Below are 15,683 nucleotides of genomic sequence, written 5' to 3'. Positions count from 1 at the left end.
AAGAAAATATTGTGATGTATTTGGTGTTTTCCTATTATTATTACTTTGAAAATGCTACCCTTATCAGAATCAAATTATAAATTTTGAAAGCTTACTAATTCTTTAACATTCTATCATGTTATTCTATGATTAGCTAAATTCACTTTCTGAATATAGTAGCTTTATTAAATACATTTGTATTTACATAAGTAGTACTTTAATTATAATGTTTATAATTCTGTTTTTTCAGAGCTTCATTATTTGATCACTGTGACCTGGCAGACTGTTTAATTTCAGTGGTAAGTATTCCATTTACTGGTTTATTTTTGTTACTATTTATAGTTGAAAAAATCATATGATTACATAATAGGGATTTTCAAAAATAAATCAAATTTTAATTTATTGCTTATCAGCAAAAAATGTGATGTGTACAAAAGGATGATCGACACACTTGGAAGCAGAGTATATTGTACATGAATATGTAATGGCCAAACATTACTGTGAACTTAGAAGTGTCAAAGCGTGCTTTTGGATATCCATGTCAGTGTTTTTAGTGCAGGAAGTTGGCAGGTACATTGCAAGGAAAGCTGTTCCCATGGCATGTTAGAGGGTCCTAGGGGAGTGTGATCTTGGGTGGTGATCCTTCTTCAGCCCTGATTGCTTTGAGGTGGAAGCAGGACAGGCAGCACTGGGGGAAGCTCCTACCCCAGCTGCCTCAGTGCCACCTTTACAAACAATGAAAAACTGAGGAGCCAAAAAATATTGTCAAAGGTTTACTACAAGAGAAAGCATGAAGCCTGAGATCTTTTTCACTCTAAGAAGTGGAATCAGTCAGCTTTTGAGTTGAACTTTAATAAGCCCGTTATAGAGATCAAAGTGTGGTGAATTTATTTAAGTGGCACCATATCAGCAATGACGGATTTCCGTTGGTAGTATTGAACATTTTGTGTTGTCAATAACAACTATTGAAATTGTCACACGGTTTCCTGCAAAGGCTGCCATCTCTTCGCCAGGCAAGAGAAATGTGGCCTCACTGACCACCATGGAGCTTGCCAAGGGGATGCTGCCCCCATTGTCATTTATATTCAGTGGGTCTCAAAAGAACATGAAAATATCCACATTTGGAGTTTAAGCTATTAATATTTTTTATTACTCTGTGTAAGGTATAGAATTCTTTCCATGGAATTTTAAAAGGGCTTTGATTTCTTGTCATATCAAATATTATAATACATAATGGTTAACATTGACATTCATTTTAACAATATAGGTTTAATGTGATTTTTAAACATAAATTTTCTCAAATAAATGTTTGACTAAAATTTTATTTTAGGATTTGAGTGATGTAAATTTAATTATTTCAGTTCATCTATTTCAGATAAAATAGGATTTTTTATAAAGGGAATTTTTTTATGAATTTTTCTTAAGTCATAGATGTAATAAATTTGGAAGACTTATAGTCATTTAAAAATTATAATTATAGTCATTTAAAAATTATAATTATAGTCATTTAAAAATTATTTCTTACAGTGGATACTAAACTATTGGTCTAGGTAAAAGGATATCATTTTTATGGTTTATGTAGCAACTAGAGCTATTGCCGGGTGTCAGTATAAAGCCTAACATGTGAGAATAATTTCTTACTGAAATTATTAAAGAATGCCTTGATTTCTGATGATACAACATATGAATTATGGAGAAATTTCAAATGGTTCTATAATTAGTCATATACTTTAGTGCTAGCCATAATATAGACACTCTGTATCAATAAATTAACCTTATTTAGAGATTGCAATGTATGCTGATTTATCTGTTTGTAAGCTCCTTGTTGAATGGCTTGATTTTTAGGGAGCAGATATTAATAGCATTGATTCTGTAGGATGCTCTCCACTTAGCAACTGCTTCTGCATCTTAGAATATTGTAAATTTGCTACTCTCTAAAGCTACCAAGAGGGACCAAGCCAAGTCTTGGGAAGTATTACTCAATTTGGTTAGATGAACATTTATTAACCATCTATTGTGTGCCAGGCCCTGGGCCAGGTGCTGTGAATACAAAGATAAACAGAACACTTTTCATGTCTAGAATAATTTTCAGTCCAGTAAGGGAGCAATGCTTAAAAAGATAATTTCAGAACAATAGTAGATAACATTTATAAAGCAATTGTTATACCCCAGGCATTTATTGAACAATTAATCAACTGTCTTTCAATGTATCGGTCCCATGTGGTGTAGGTACTATAACTATCCCTGTTTTCGATTCTAACCTGGGCCTCTGAAAAGAAAGAAGTGAGGTGTCCTTCTCTGCTATCCTCTTCTTTCTTGATCTCTAATGTGTCTATATTTATATTTTTATATTTTATGCTCTGAAAGGTAAGGCCTCATGTATTTATGTAATGCATCACATATTTTCTACCCCACTTACACATACAGACACACACAGACACACACACACACACACACACACACACACAGGTAGTAAGCCCATTTTTAATTATGCTTAGTTTTCTCATCTAAACATTTCCTGTAAACTAAAAGTCAGCAAAATTTTAAGTCAAAATTTTTTTGCAAGTTGAAAATCCACATAAAGGATGCATTAAATAAGTGAATAGAATTTATATTTACATTGTGCTTTTTTTAGGTGCCCAAGTAGACATTAAAGGTAATTTTGGACGTAATTTTCTGCATTTAACTGTACAGCAACTTTATGGATTAAAAAATCTGCAACCTGAGTTTTTGCAGGTCATATATATCTATGGATTTCCATTAACTAAGTTCGGTTCAACAGAGGATAAACTAATTTTGTTTATTATAATTTTTATTATTATCAAAGCTGATTCTGGAATTTTAACAGTGTTTTAAAATAAAGATGACATGTTTGAATAGTTATAACAGGGTGATGGTGGTAGTGATGATGATGATGATGATAATTAATTGTATTGAGATTGAGTTTTTTAAGTTACAGAAGGATTTCATATGCTATCATGTATGATAAGTATACATCCTTAATTAGTTTCATTTTCTTCATTCTTTGATCATTAGGATTTGTATATCAGTGGAAAAGCCAACTATGGGTATGAATTATCAATACTCCACCATCAATTAAGAAAAACTACTCAGCACACTTGACTTGCTGAGGACAAGTTAAAAGCATTATTTTCATATTTATATTCACCAGCTAATACTGAGTGACTATCAAGTGCATGTGAAATACAACATATTTTTTAGTAAATAGAATTCAATATTGTCACTGTCTTTAATAAAGAATCAAGAATATATATGTATTTGAAAAATTTCAGCAAAAATAGCAAAATGATAATTGATTGGACTAAGCTACTCATTTGTCATTCATTTTTAATTTACTATACATATAAAAGATAAAGTAAACCTAATTTTAACATCCCTTCCATTTTACCTAACAGAACTTATTAACATAAAGCTGTTAGGTGTTACTTAGGAGCGGGAGGAAGTGAGAGGAGGAGCAGAAGGAAGGGCTGTGATCAAATATATTTGAAAAATACTGAGTTAAAAATGTTAAGTTTTTATTATTATTTATATTAAATAATATTAAATTTATTATTTAATATTTTCCCACTTGCAGGATCTCTCAGAGCCTTTAATATGGTAATGTACATTACATGAAGACAGAGCATTCAACTTCATTCATATTTATTTTACTCTCAAATCCTTTAGGTTATTTACAATTTTGGCCCCAAGGAATACATATTGACCCTTGTTGGAAAATATTTTCCTACAGAATAGTTTGGAAACCATCATTTTAGCATAACAGCAGAGTTATTTGTATGATATTAATTTTTTCCTGTAGATGCAACAGATCAAAGAGCTGGTAATGGATGAAGACAACGATGGGTGTACTCCTCTACATTATGCATGTAGACAGGGGGGCCCTGGTTCTGTAAATAACCTACTTGGCTTTAATGTGTCCATTCATTCCAAAAGCAAAGATAAGAAATCACCTCTGCATTTTGCAGCCAGGTAAGGGTCAGTCTAGCATTGTATGAACCTGTCTTCTTTCTGTTTAATATTTGCCTTGAAAATATGAAACCTAATTTTTTCCAAGTTATGGGCGTATCAATACCTGTCAGAGGCTCCTACAAGACATAAGTGATACGAGGCTTCTGAATGAAGGGGACCTTCATGGAATGACTCCTCTCCATCTGGCAGCAAAGAATGGACATGATAAAGTAGTTCAGCTTCTTCTGAAAAAAGGTGCATTGTTTCTCAGGTGAGGATATATGATTGGGGTGTTTATATAGTTTCTTTAATTAGCCATTTTCAGGCTATCTTTTCATTATATTTTTAATTATGTTGTCTAACTTTATATTTCACTAAGTAGTTTTATACATTTTATTTTATCATCAACACGTAACTTCTTAAATACTGGAAGGGGGCCGGGCGCGGTGGCTCAAGCCTATAATCCCAGCACTTTGGGAGGCCGAGGCGGGTGGATCACCTGAGGTCGGGAGTTCGAGACTAGCCTGACCAACATGGAGAAACCCCATCTCTACTAAAAATACAAAAACAAAATTAGCTGAGCTTGGTGGTGCATGCCTGTAATCCCAGCTACTCAGGAGGCTGAGGAAGGAGAATCGTTTGAATCCGTCTCAAAAAAAAAAAAAAAAAAATGCTGGAAGGGAAGTCAGTATATTTCCAACTGACAAAGATTTTGAAGTTTATAGACTTGAAGAACCTTGTTCAAGGTCACAGAATAAGTGGCTTTGTGCAGAGTCTTTTTCAGAATCTTTGAAATACAGTTTCTCATATTTTAGCTCATCATGCTGCCATTTTCCTATGTAGATACAAAACCATGGTTGTGTATGTGTATGTGTGCATGTACACACGCACACACAAACATACAAGTTCAAATATGCTACTTTTTCTTCAGTCTGATGAATGGTAGACATAAAAAGCTCCCCTTGAGTGACAACGGGAGACAGTAAAAATTTCTGAACTTCATTATACCTAAAGGAACTCAAGCACAAGAAACAAAACCAAGTTAAAATATGTAAGCATAATAAAATATGTGGCATAGGTAAATGATATTGTTGTTAAAAAAAAAAGAAAAAAACCTAGGAATATTTTACAGAGGTATTTCATTTGGTATTTCATCAAAGCAGTAGCAAAGAGCTTATTAGGCTGTTTAGAAACACATTTTCTTAACAGAATATTGATGCCAGCAAATTAAGTGATATAGCTGCAAAAATGAATGCTTTGCTCAGTTTCTTCTGGTTTACAAGGAAATGCCAAGCAACTGACTTACAAAGGGGACCCAAGTAGAACCAGACCAGACAGTTGTTGCTTAATTACATCATAACTGGAATGGCTGTTATACCCTAAAACATCTGTTCACTAGCACTGAAATTAAATTGTGTCAGGAAATATTTTCTATGTTTAGTTTCAAAAAGTATTAGCAATATGACAAGGCTTCATTATATTTACACCTCAAATTTCTGTGAAAAAGAATTAGCAGTTTTCAAAGTGATTGGGTAAGCATCTTTGAGAGCACAAGAGGAAAGTGTTTCAGACTTGAACTCTTAGAATAATAAGTGACGCTAAGCTAAATATCTTATAGCCATGTACTATATTATTAGTAGTATTACTAATAACTATTGATCACAAAGACTAACACCACTTCAAAAAATTTTTTTGGATGCAATGTTCAATGAAAAAATAAAACATGATTTAAGTTAATGTGTATAAGTTCATTATAGCTTTGAAAAAATTATGCATGATACACACACACTAAGTGTACTTCTCCTACCCCGAAGTGTTTGGTAATGTGTTTATATACTTTCATATCTTAATCCACTAAATAAAAAATATGAGTGAATCACATTACAAATAGATTATTTACGATCATTGAGCTTGAAATTCACTCATTCATTATAAATATTTCATAAATATTTAGTTGCCAGACCTCATTATACTTTTTGTTGTCATCAGATTTACCTAGAAAGAGCCAAGTGGCATCCCATCCCAAATTTCATCTGTTAAGTGTATGCACACATCTTTTCTTAACTCTTTATCAGTGACCACAATGGCTAGATGGTTTTGCATCATGCATCCATAAGGGTACACTCAGACCATGAAGGTCATTCTTGATAGTAATTTGAAGTGCACAGATCACATAGATGAAGACGGGGTATGTACCATGGTCCTCACACTTACCCAAAATCTCGACATACCAGAAACTTCCAGCATTGCCAGAAAACCCTCCTAGATACCTTCTTCCCTTCCTTGCTCCTTTCCCAGCCTTTTTGGGTGTTTAGCAAGCAGACTCTTGAGGTGAAGTATGAGTCAAAAGGCAACAGAAATGGGAGAATACCAAGGGGTGGATGAATGTTTAGGAAACCACTAGACTCACAGAGGTTGGTCCACAGGCCATTGTGAGTTGATGATAAAGCTTTTACTCCCTGGTAGACTCAGAAAAATAAAGGAAGGTGTAAGTTTTCACTAAAATAAGTGCTTTATTTTGAAGTATATTGACTTGAAGGACTGCCCTTTATTGTGCTATTATGTCATTCCTTCTTTTGGGGAGAGTAACTATTGAAATGTACATTTGTTCATAAAATGATGGAGATGGACAATTGTTGCCTTTTTCAAAAAAATAGTCTTCATGTGGGGAAACTAAAAACTGGCAACCTTATAACAGTCTCTGAATTTTAAAAAAGTTTACAAGCTTGGGAAACCCCAAATTTGTAAGCCACTGCTCTACAAGATGATAAATCTCAGGAGTATTTTCTTCTGTGTTCAACCCAACATCCGTACCCTGATAGCTGGTCCTCTGTCCTTGTGGAATCATCCCATTGCAAAAGCAGCACAAAACAACCCCCTTGGAATTCATTCTCTCTGTTTTTTTTTCTCTCTCTCTCTGTTTCTCTCTCTCTCACACACACACACACACACACACACACACACAGATCCACTTCCCACACATACACAAACAGACCCACTTCCCACACATGCACACTCACACCATGTTTGAACTATAAACTCATTAGTTTGAAGCTTGAACACCAGTTTTAAATGCTATGTATTTTGGTATTAAATCATTAGTGTTGCAAATGTCTTTTAGGCAGTTCAGCCATGAAACAAAGCAGATTAGGCATTGTCACCACATTTTCTGTGTCCGTTTCTTCAAAAGAACACTGCACTTCACTTTGCTGCAAGGGAAGGCCATGCCAAAGCCTTTGCACTTCTGAGCCACAATGCTGACATAGTCCTGAACAAGGAGCAGGCAGGCCTCCTTTTTGCACCTTGCACTTCACAATAAGAAGAAGGAGGTGGTTCTTATGACCATCAGGAGCAAAAGGTACACTGTCTGCCTGTCCACTGTCATTTAGTGTTCTCTGGTGTCAGGGATGATTCGAAGTCTGAGAGAAAAGAAATGAGTTTCAGCCATTAATCACAATTTTAAAATATCAGTTGTTTACCTAAATTTTTAAGAAGTCTTTTATTTTTAATTTGTGTGGGTACATAGTAAGTGTATATGTTTATCAGGTACATGAGATGTTTTGATACAGGTGTGCAATGCATAATAATCATTTCAAGGAGAATGGGGTATCCATACTCTCAAGCATTTATTCTTTGTGTTACAAGCAATCCCATTATACTCCTTTAGTTATTTTTAAATGTTTACAGAATTTTTAAATGATTTTTCTTAGTGACAACAGGCACATTACTTTACCTCGCCGATCTTCAGTTTATATTTCTTAACAAAATAAAATATGGGCACATTAAGACCAAGCTTCGCAGCACTCTTACGAGATTCCAGGGATTCAGGCATGTGTATTGTCTGGCACCATGTCACTGTCAAGCAAACTTCACACTGCCCTCCCTGAACTTGCCTGACATGTGCCAGTAGAAACCCTGAAAGTGGATGCTGGCAAAAATATTACCCAAGGTAAATTCAGATTGTTATCCATGCCCTTTAATGGGATATCTTTTAGCAAATAATCTTTTGTGGTTGTGGGTTTCTAATCCATGTTCTAAGAGTTTTAATTATGAAGTTAGAGGGTACTTTGTCTAATTTCTCATAATATCTCATAATATCACTTTCTGTATAATCACAGATAGACATGCATTAGGGACCAGTGTCACCCAATAGTAGACACAGAATGAACAATTCCATATTCAAGGCAGATCAAGCCCTTGTTTTTGAGCATGGACAGCCTCAAAAATCTCCTGCTGATAGTTCCTTTTTAAAGCACTTTTTAATGAAAGTGTTCAACCAGAACTTTTCTGTCGATAATACAGATATACTAGATGGGTTTTACTGATAGAGTTAATAGAAAATTAGATAGGATATTGGAGATAAAAGAGCTCCTCTTTGCATCCTGCTGTAGATTTAGTTCCTCCTTGGTATGGTAAGCACCTTCTTACCCTGTTCAATTGGATGATAATGAAGAAAAGGGGCAAATTTTTCTTTGCAGAGGCTGTGCTTATCAATGCACTTTACATGTGTTAATTTGTAGTTTAATTCATGAATTAGCTATTAAATATTGGTCCAGTACTGCTTTGATGGTGTAGGTATGTGAATGTGGAATCTGTACCGAACATGATTAGGACTGTAAGTACTTCCTATTTTATGACTTCAGGAGAGAAAGAAGATATAGTCCCAGCTTCTTTGAAAGACATTTAGAAGAAGAGACAGAACAATAATTGTAACAGCTATCCCAAAATTTGCCCATATTCCTAATGCCTATTAACAGACAAGGATCCTATTACTGGGTTGATCTCGGTTTACATATTGCTTCCATCAGAACTAAGGGCAAGCATTGCATTTCATGAATAAGCTTAAGTTTAGATTTCTCCTAAAGATATAATCTTGAGTTTCAACTGTTGTGCAGAACAGAAGGTTGAAGACCTGTGCTTGTCTTATGTATTCATTTTTTACAGATGGGATGAATGTCTTAAGGTTTTTAGTCATTATTCTCCAAACAATAAATGTCCAATTTTGGAAATGATCGAATACCTCCCTGAATGCATGAAGGTAAGCTCTCTAAAACAAAACTCTTCCTGGGTTTATGTTTGGCATATATGATGTGAGGATTTATTGTTGTCATCACAATCTAGTAATAATAATTTCCATCATGAAATAAAGCTTGTAGTTTCCCATAGGCTATAAGGGAATTTAGACAATAAGTATTTAATGAGGACCTTCTTGAATTAAAGAATCCTATTAATTATTTTGTGTAATACAGGATAATATGGTAAACAGATTTTTTTATTCAAACAATCCACACCTGTAACAGAGACTATAAACTGGTGTTTGCTGGCTGAATAAAACCTTAATATGTGTTTTGTTTGGCATGCATGTTATTGCTCTTTCAAATTTACATGAATTGCTAACATTTGAAACCAGGATGCTTTCCTTAAGGTTCCAGTTATCTGGCTTCTCATAAGAATGAAATTTGGCACCTAAGCCTGCCTTCTCACAAGGCAGGAATTACTGGGTTCAGCACCAGATGCTTCCCATGGATGTGGCAATCACTCTCCTATTTGAAACACCCCAGTTCTCCCTTTTGTACATTGGGCCTAGTGCCCGGTGTTAGTTGTCACATATAGCCGTTTTTGTGCAATTGCTTTCCTTAGAGTACAGAAGTATTGAATTATGGCTCTATCCTAACTGTAAAGATGAAAGCTTGCCCTAGGATAGCCAATATCTCAAGAACAATGGGAAAAAGCTCTTACATTTGGCATTGTTCCTTTATTTGCATGACGTGCCTGGCCTCTGTGGGTTTTTAAGCATGTAACTCTCTATGCTACATTAAATACACACCCCGCATATGACCTGACACTCCATACAAGACAAATATGCACAAACTGTTGAGCAGATGAGTATTAAAGGATGCAAATAAAAGATCTAGGAAAGTTGGGATTTGAGGGTTGGGACAGACAGAAAATCAGAATCACTTCAGATTTCATGCAAAGGGAAAAATATATTCAAATGCTGGGGGAGGCAGTAAGATATAGTGACAGAGGGAATAAAAGCCCAGATTTGGAGCCTTCTGGAGGCCATGGGATCTAATTCTGGTGCTGTCTCTTGCTATACTGCTTTAGATAAGTCATTTCACCTCAGAATTTATTTTCTGTTTTATTTATGTCTAAAACAATGATGCTGATGCTGAGTTTACAAAGTGATTACAAAAGTAGGGGTAAAATATATAAAATGCTAAGGGCAATGGTCAGTACATAAAATTTACCTCCTACTGTTTTATACTGCTTATGTGGTTATTTGTAGTACTAGTATTTTGTTTTTATTTATTGAATAAGGACTTACTATGTGCTAAACATTGTGTGCATTTTTTTCTTTATAATGCCTAATAAAAACTGGAGCCAGTCTAGTACATATGTACTAGTACAAATAGTGTACAGATTATCTTGTTAGGTGGCTGAATCTCATCGAAGGACACATAAATACTCAAGGTTGAAACAATCTCAAACTTTCTTATTCAGTGATTATAGTTGTTGAAATCTGTCTTAATGAATAATCAGAGATACAGACAGATTTATATAGAATGTTTCCTGCAGCATCATTTATAATTATAAAAAAGGTGAAATATTCACATGTGAAAACATAGTAAAGAATTGAAATTATACCACAATGTTAATAAAAATGGTCTGTTATGCGATTATGAATAGTTTTTAATTTCTTCCTTAAGCTACTATATTTTCTAGATAATTTTCTATGATGACTTGTATTATTTTGGTATTTTGAATACTTTTTAACAAAATTAATGAACTTAAATGTCTTAATTTAGCTCAACATAACACATTTGAATTACTTACACAACATTTCTGAAAAGTTGCTCCTGCAATCTGCCCAGCCCCCAGCCAAGGCAGCCCATCCTTTATTTTGCCCATGTTGATTATTAACAAGTTTACAAGCTATAATAAATAACCAGACTTGCCTGTTTCTGCCTTGAACAGCACTACTGACTAGTCTTGTCTTTATTTTTCATAATGTTTGTTGTGATCCCCAGTACTGACATCCAGTCACCAATAGAATCTTCCTTGAAGTTTTCTTAGTCCCGTTGGTACCTGACACCACCCAGGGTCCTGTTTCTTCCCTTTTGGATATAGTCTGACCATCTACCCTCAAGTTCTGCAGGTGACATTCACCAGAAGCCCCAGGAGCTCCTGGATGCATTGATGGCAACATATGGGGTATTGTGTCCAGTCCTGGTTCTAAGAGGGCAGCCTGGCCAAGTGGTATTTCTTTCTCAGGGTCATAAATATGGGCCACTAGATTTGAGGTGTCTCAAATTGTTTATGCAGCCCCACAAAAATAGTTCCTTTCCACACACCATAGGGGTGGCTCTAGTGTGACCCTATAAGTGTTCTTTCCCTGAGTTAACTATCTAGAGGGTCTTCATCTATTTCTTGTTACAGCATCTATCCCCCACTATCCTGTCCGCTCCCCTCTAAACACATTCTCTGTGTTGCTTGGCATATGAGGTATAGAAACAAACACATTACTCCAGACTGGGGCAATTCAGAAGACTGAACCTAAATCATGGAAAGACTGTAGACCTGGGATGAAAAATCTCAATTAGGGACAATAAGTTGTTACTGTAAGAAACTGAGTAAAGGAATCAGACAGATTGACTATCCCTTATCCAAACTGCTTGGGACCAGTCGTGTTTTGGATTTCAAGATATTGGCCTATATATAATGGGGTATCATAAGGATGAGATCAAAGTGTAGATACAAAATTCATTTGTATTTCATATAATCCTTAAAAGCATAGCCTACAGTTAATTTTATACAATATTTTTAATAATTTTGTGCATGAAACAAAGTTTGTGTTAAGTACTTATGTGTGGAATTTTCCACTTGTGGCATCATGTGGGTGCTCAAAAAGTATTGGATTTTGGAGCACTTAGAATTTTAGACTTTCAGATTAGGGTTGCTCAACCTGTAATCTGTATACCCTTTAGAAGCCCAGAAAGACATCAAATCTTAGGCAAAACTAGTGGAATATCTCTTACCCAAATATTAGTACATGCAATTTTACTCTCAAGCACATGGTATTTTTCTGAATCACCTGGTTATTTCTGAAACATGCAGATGTATTTGTAACACTTTGTATTGTAAACTTTGTTCCTGGATGAGATAGATTATAATTTATCCTTGAGATGCAAGAAGCCAAGAAAAGGGAGGGAAATATCTTGTGTGTTATTCTAGAAATGGGATAAAATTCTTTCTAATATATAGTGGCCTGCCCAATATCTTAGGTGGTTTTTCTGTTTGAAAGATACTTTTAGACTTCTGCATGTTGCCTTCCCCAGAGTATAAGTCCTGCAAAGACTACCACATAAGTCTATTTTATCATAATAATTTGAAATTTGCTTTCTTTATGTTCTTTGAAAAATATTAAAAATGTTGTTACTATCGATGTGTAATCTACTGGAGATGGCAAATACTGGTCTCGTTTTTTTCATATTATAGTATTATCTACTTGTGAAATAATTTTTCCCTTACCTCCTCAGTTTTCCTCTCATATTTTAACAGTTCCTAATAGCATCATTTAGTGTTATGTCTAGTCTTTATATTTCCTTGGGTAGTTTTGCCTTAATAATGAAGATCTAAAATATCTAAATGATCTTTTGAGAATTACTCTTTTTCCATGACTGTGAGATATGAAGCAATTGAATAACAGCCTTCCAGGATGTTTATTTTTATAATTAATATGCAATAATATATATCTTTTTTCGACTCGAAATGTTTCAACTTTGTTCAAATCACTTAATTTTTAGCAAAATTGTATACTTGTATATTTGATTTTTCAGGAATTATTTTGGGGATTCTGTACCTGACTAACTACTTTGTAAAAATTTTCTACAGATCAAGTATAATTTCAGATATCTTCAATGCCCATTAGAATTAACAGAAAATATAACACCTACAAAGAATATCACATATAAACCTTTTGCAGCCCTCAATGTAAGTTCGGTGTTTTCATTATCTAGGTAGTTTCTAGCCGGGTTCTAAAATGTTTTAATACAATAGTCCCACATTAGGTGGATGGGGAGAATTCCAGTTTTATAATTCTATGTCCATGTCTGCCATGTGACTCAACTGTTTATTTTTTAATAAAGAAAGCAATCATTTTTTTCAATTGCTAGAAAGTTCTACCCTTCTTTTCTAATGTTCACGTAAGACCTGCTCCAAACCAGAATCAAATAAACCATGGAGAACACAGGTAACGCTTGCCACCTCTATCCACCTGCATATTCAAGAGTTTCCTCCAGTATAAACCCCAGGAAAATGCAAAGGGTGATATTTTACAGTCACAGCTTTCAAGTTCGGTGAGCCGCTGGGCTCCAAGACAAACTGACCATGGAGAGGTGCCTTCCAGAGGGATGAACCCAATCTAAAGTAGGCTTTGAACACACACCATGGACTTGAACTTCCCAAGTAACTTGTTCCAAAGCAGCTCTTATTTCAAAGATACTTTTACATTTCTAGCCAATGAAGCAATCAAAACCAGGCATATGATCCCCTTCAGTCTAAATCAAAGGTCTCAAACTGAAATAACTACAGAGAAAACAATAATAGACGAGTAACTTAAGCTCCTGGTTAAAAGGACAGTGGCTACTAGGTTCAACAAATCATTGCCATGTGGCAATAGCAGCCCATACTTGTGTAAATATTGACAACAAATTAAAATTGTGTGCATGCAAAACAAAACAGAACAAAACAGATTTGAGGACTGGATTTTCAAATTTTTGTCTAGACTCGTGCTATCTAATATGGGAGCCATTAGTCACATGTGGCTACCTGAATTAAAACTAGTTAAAATTAAATGAAGTTTATAATTTTTTCAGTCACACTGGATACATTTCAAGTGCTCAGTAGGCCATTTGACTTGCAGCTCTTATATTGAACACCACAGGTAGAAGACATTTTTGTCACTGCAGAAAGTTCTACTGGGCAACACTGCTCTAGGCCAATAAGGAATTTTCATTCACCTTCAATGAGTTCATTTCCCTACCCTGAAGCCTTTCGTACAGACCATGGCAGTAGTCATCACCCAAAGTTAAACCTTTAAGACTTACCGAGCACTTGGAGTGTGAAGGATGCAGACTCATGGGGATTTTATGCCCTCAACACTGGTGATGGCAACTGACTCACCTTTGCTGTAAGAACTTTAGCTCTCCTGGAGTATGTTATGTTTTGCTATTAGTATAGTTCATAATCGATATCCAGTGATCCAATAGTAACTACATTACAGTTATACTTAGAACAATTGTTGCATATGTATGTGTTTCTTAATTTTAATTTTTAAAATAGGCAATACTTCTATCAGAAAGAAAATGTATCTTTTTTTTTGGTCTCCACCATCAGAATAAGAATAGGAGGAAATAAGATCTATGTGGCATCTAAAAAGAAATAGGCAATATATAACAATGGGCAATGTATAATTTAAATGAAATAGGCTCACTTGGATAAATACAGTGCACTCAGTGTCAAACCAGCACAAGAGTTTATGACGTCTTAATAGCTTAGCAAACCTTGCCTTAGATATAAGTGAGCTGAGTGGGGCTTTTCAGGAAGGCAGCTGGCCTGATGGGAAATTATTTTGCACAGAAAGTTTGAAAGTCAGATGGACCAAATAGGAGAACATAAGAAATCAGATACTGAGATTAAGACAAACTGGATCCAGTGAGAGGCTATTTCATTAATGGTTCATGCAAGAGTAGAGCTTCCTTAGAAGCTCTATTAGCACAGCTACAAACACGTTGGATACTTTAACTCTTATTTACTCTTCATTTGGGTGATATTTAAACTTACATTGTACTTATATACCCTAAGGGGTAGGTTTGCCATATTTGTTATTAGTTTAAAAGCAGAGTTACAAGATTTCAAAACATAATAAGAGGATTGTTTTAATGAAAGCACATGGAAAACAACTATCTGTATGTGTCTCTAGTATGGTTTTTGAATATTAGTAACATTTTAAGTGAGTTCCTCTTACAAATATGTTTCCATATTTTTCATTTTAGCTTGAGAAAAACATTAATTTTAAACGGAAAAAAAGTCACATCTACATGGAAATTTAGTTCAGATCTCAAAAAACAATAGTTAGATCCTGTAAGGTTTTTTTCCCCCAAGAATAGCTAGATATGTAGTTTTATGGGTTCCACTGAGCATCCAACTGACAACAAATATTTGCAACAAGGGGTTCTTTAATTCCCCAAGAATACTGTCTACCAGTATATCTCAATTACTTTTCAAATGGTTAGGGTAAAAATAAGTTGAAAATAAAAACAGTGAACCTAGAAATACTCAGTTGTTGATGACACAGTAGTAGTTTTTAAACTGGAATCTCTGGCTGCTTGAATCATAATTACTGTGGTTCGTTTATTAAAATGAAGGTTCATAAGGCCCATCTTAGACCTACTAACCCAGAATATTTGGGAGTAGACCTAGGAATCTACTTTTTAAATAAGCCTCTCAGAGGATTTTTATGAACACCAGGATAGAAAAAGTCTAATACAGTGCTGATGAGAATTATAGCAGAAGGTTTTCCAAAATGTAGGTGGGTGTTCAGTCCAAAAATGTAGAAGTTGTTTGGTGGAATAATTTTGGAAACTACAAACAAATCAAAGTTAATACAAGGAGGCTAAAACAAGAAACCCTAACTTCTATCTAAAAGTAGTTCCAGAAAGATGGATTTTTTT

The 15,683-nt window shown here is 34.8% G+C and overlaps 1 pseudogene across 1 annotated transcript in view; it reads left to right on the top strand.

Annotated features, from left to right (window-relative positions):
- The window catches only part of TRPA2P (transient receptor potential cation channel subfamily A member 2, pseudogene), a 48,883-nt pseudogene that overhangs the window by 17,369 nt on the left and 15,831 nt on the right, over positions 1-15,683 (top strand). Inside the window, exons 7-12 of the transcript NR_033867.2 lie at positions 230-278; positions 3,800-3,969; positions 4,055-4,219; positions 6,024-6,136; positions 7,139-7,306; positions 8,893-8,986. The product of NR_033867.2 is annotated as a transient receptor potential cation channel subfamily A member 2, pseudogene (transcript). The remainder of the gene's footprint in view (positions 1-229; positions 279-3,799; positions 3,970-4,054; positions 4,220-6,023; positions 6,137-7,138; positions 7,307-8,892; positions 8,987-15,683) is intronic.

Source organism: Homo sapiens, chromosome 8 (assembly GCF_000001405.40).
Source record: "Homo sapiens chromosome 8, GRCh38.p14 Primary Assembly".
Classification (NCBI taxonomy): Eukaryota; Metazoa; Chordata; class Mammalia; order Primates; family Hominidae; genus Homo; species Homo sapiens.
The sequence above is the reverse complement of the archived record's forward strand: the minus strand, read 5'-3'. Positions and strand labels throughout refer to the sequence as shown.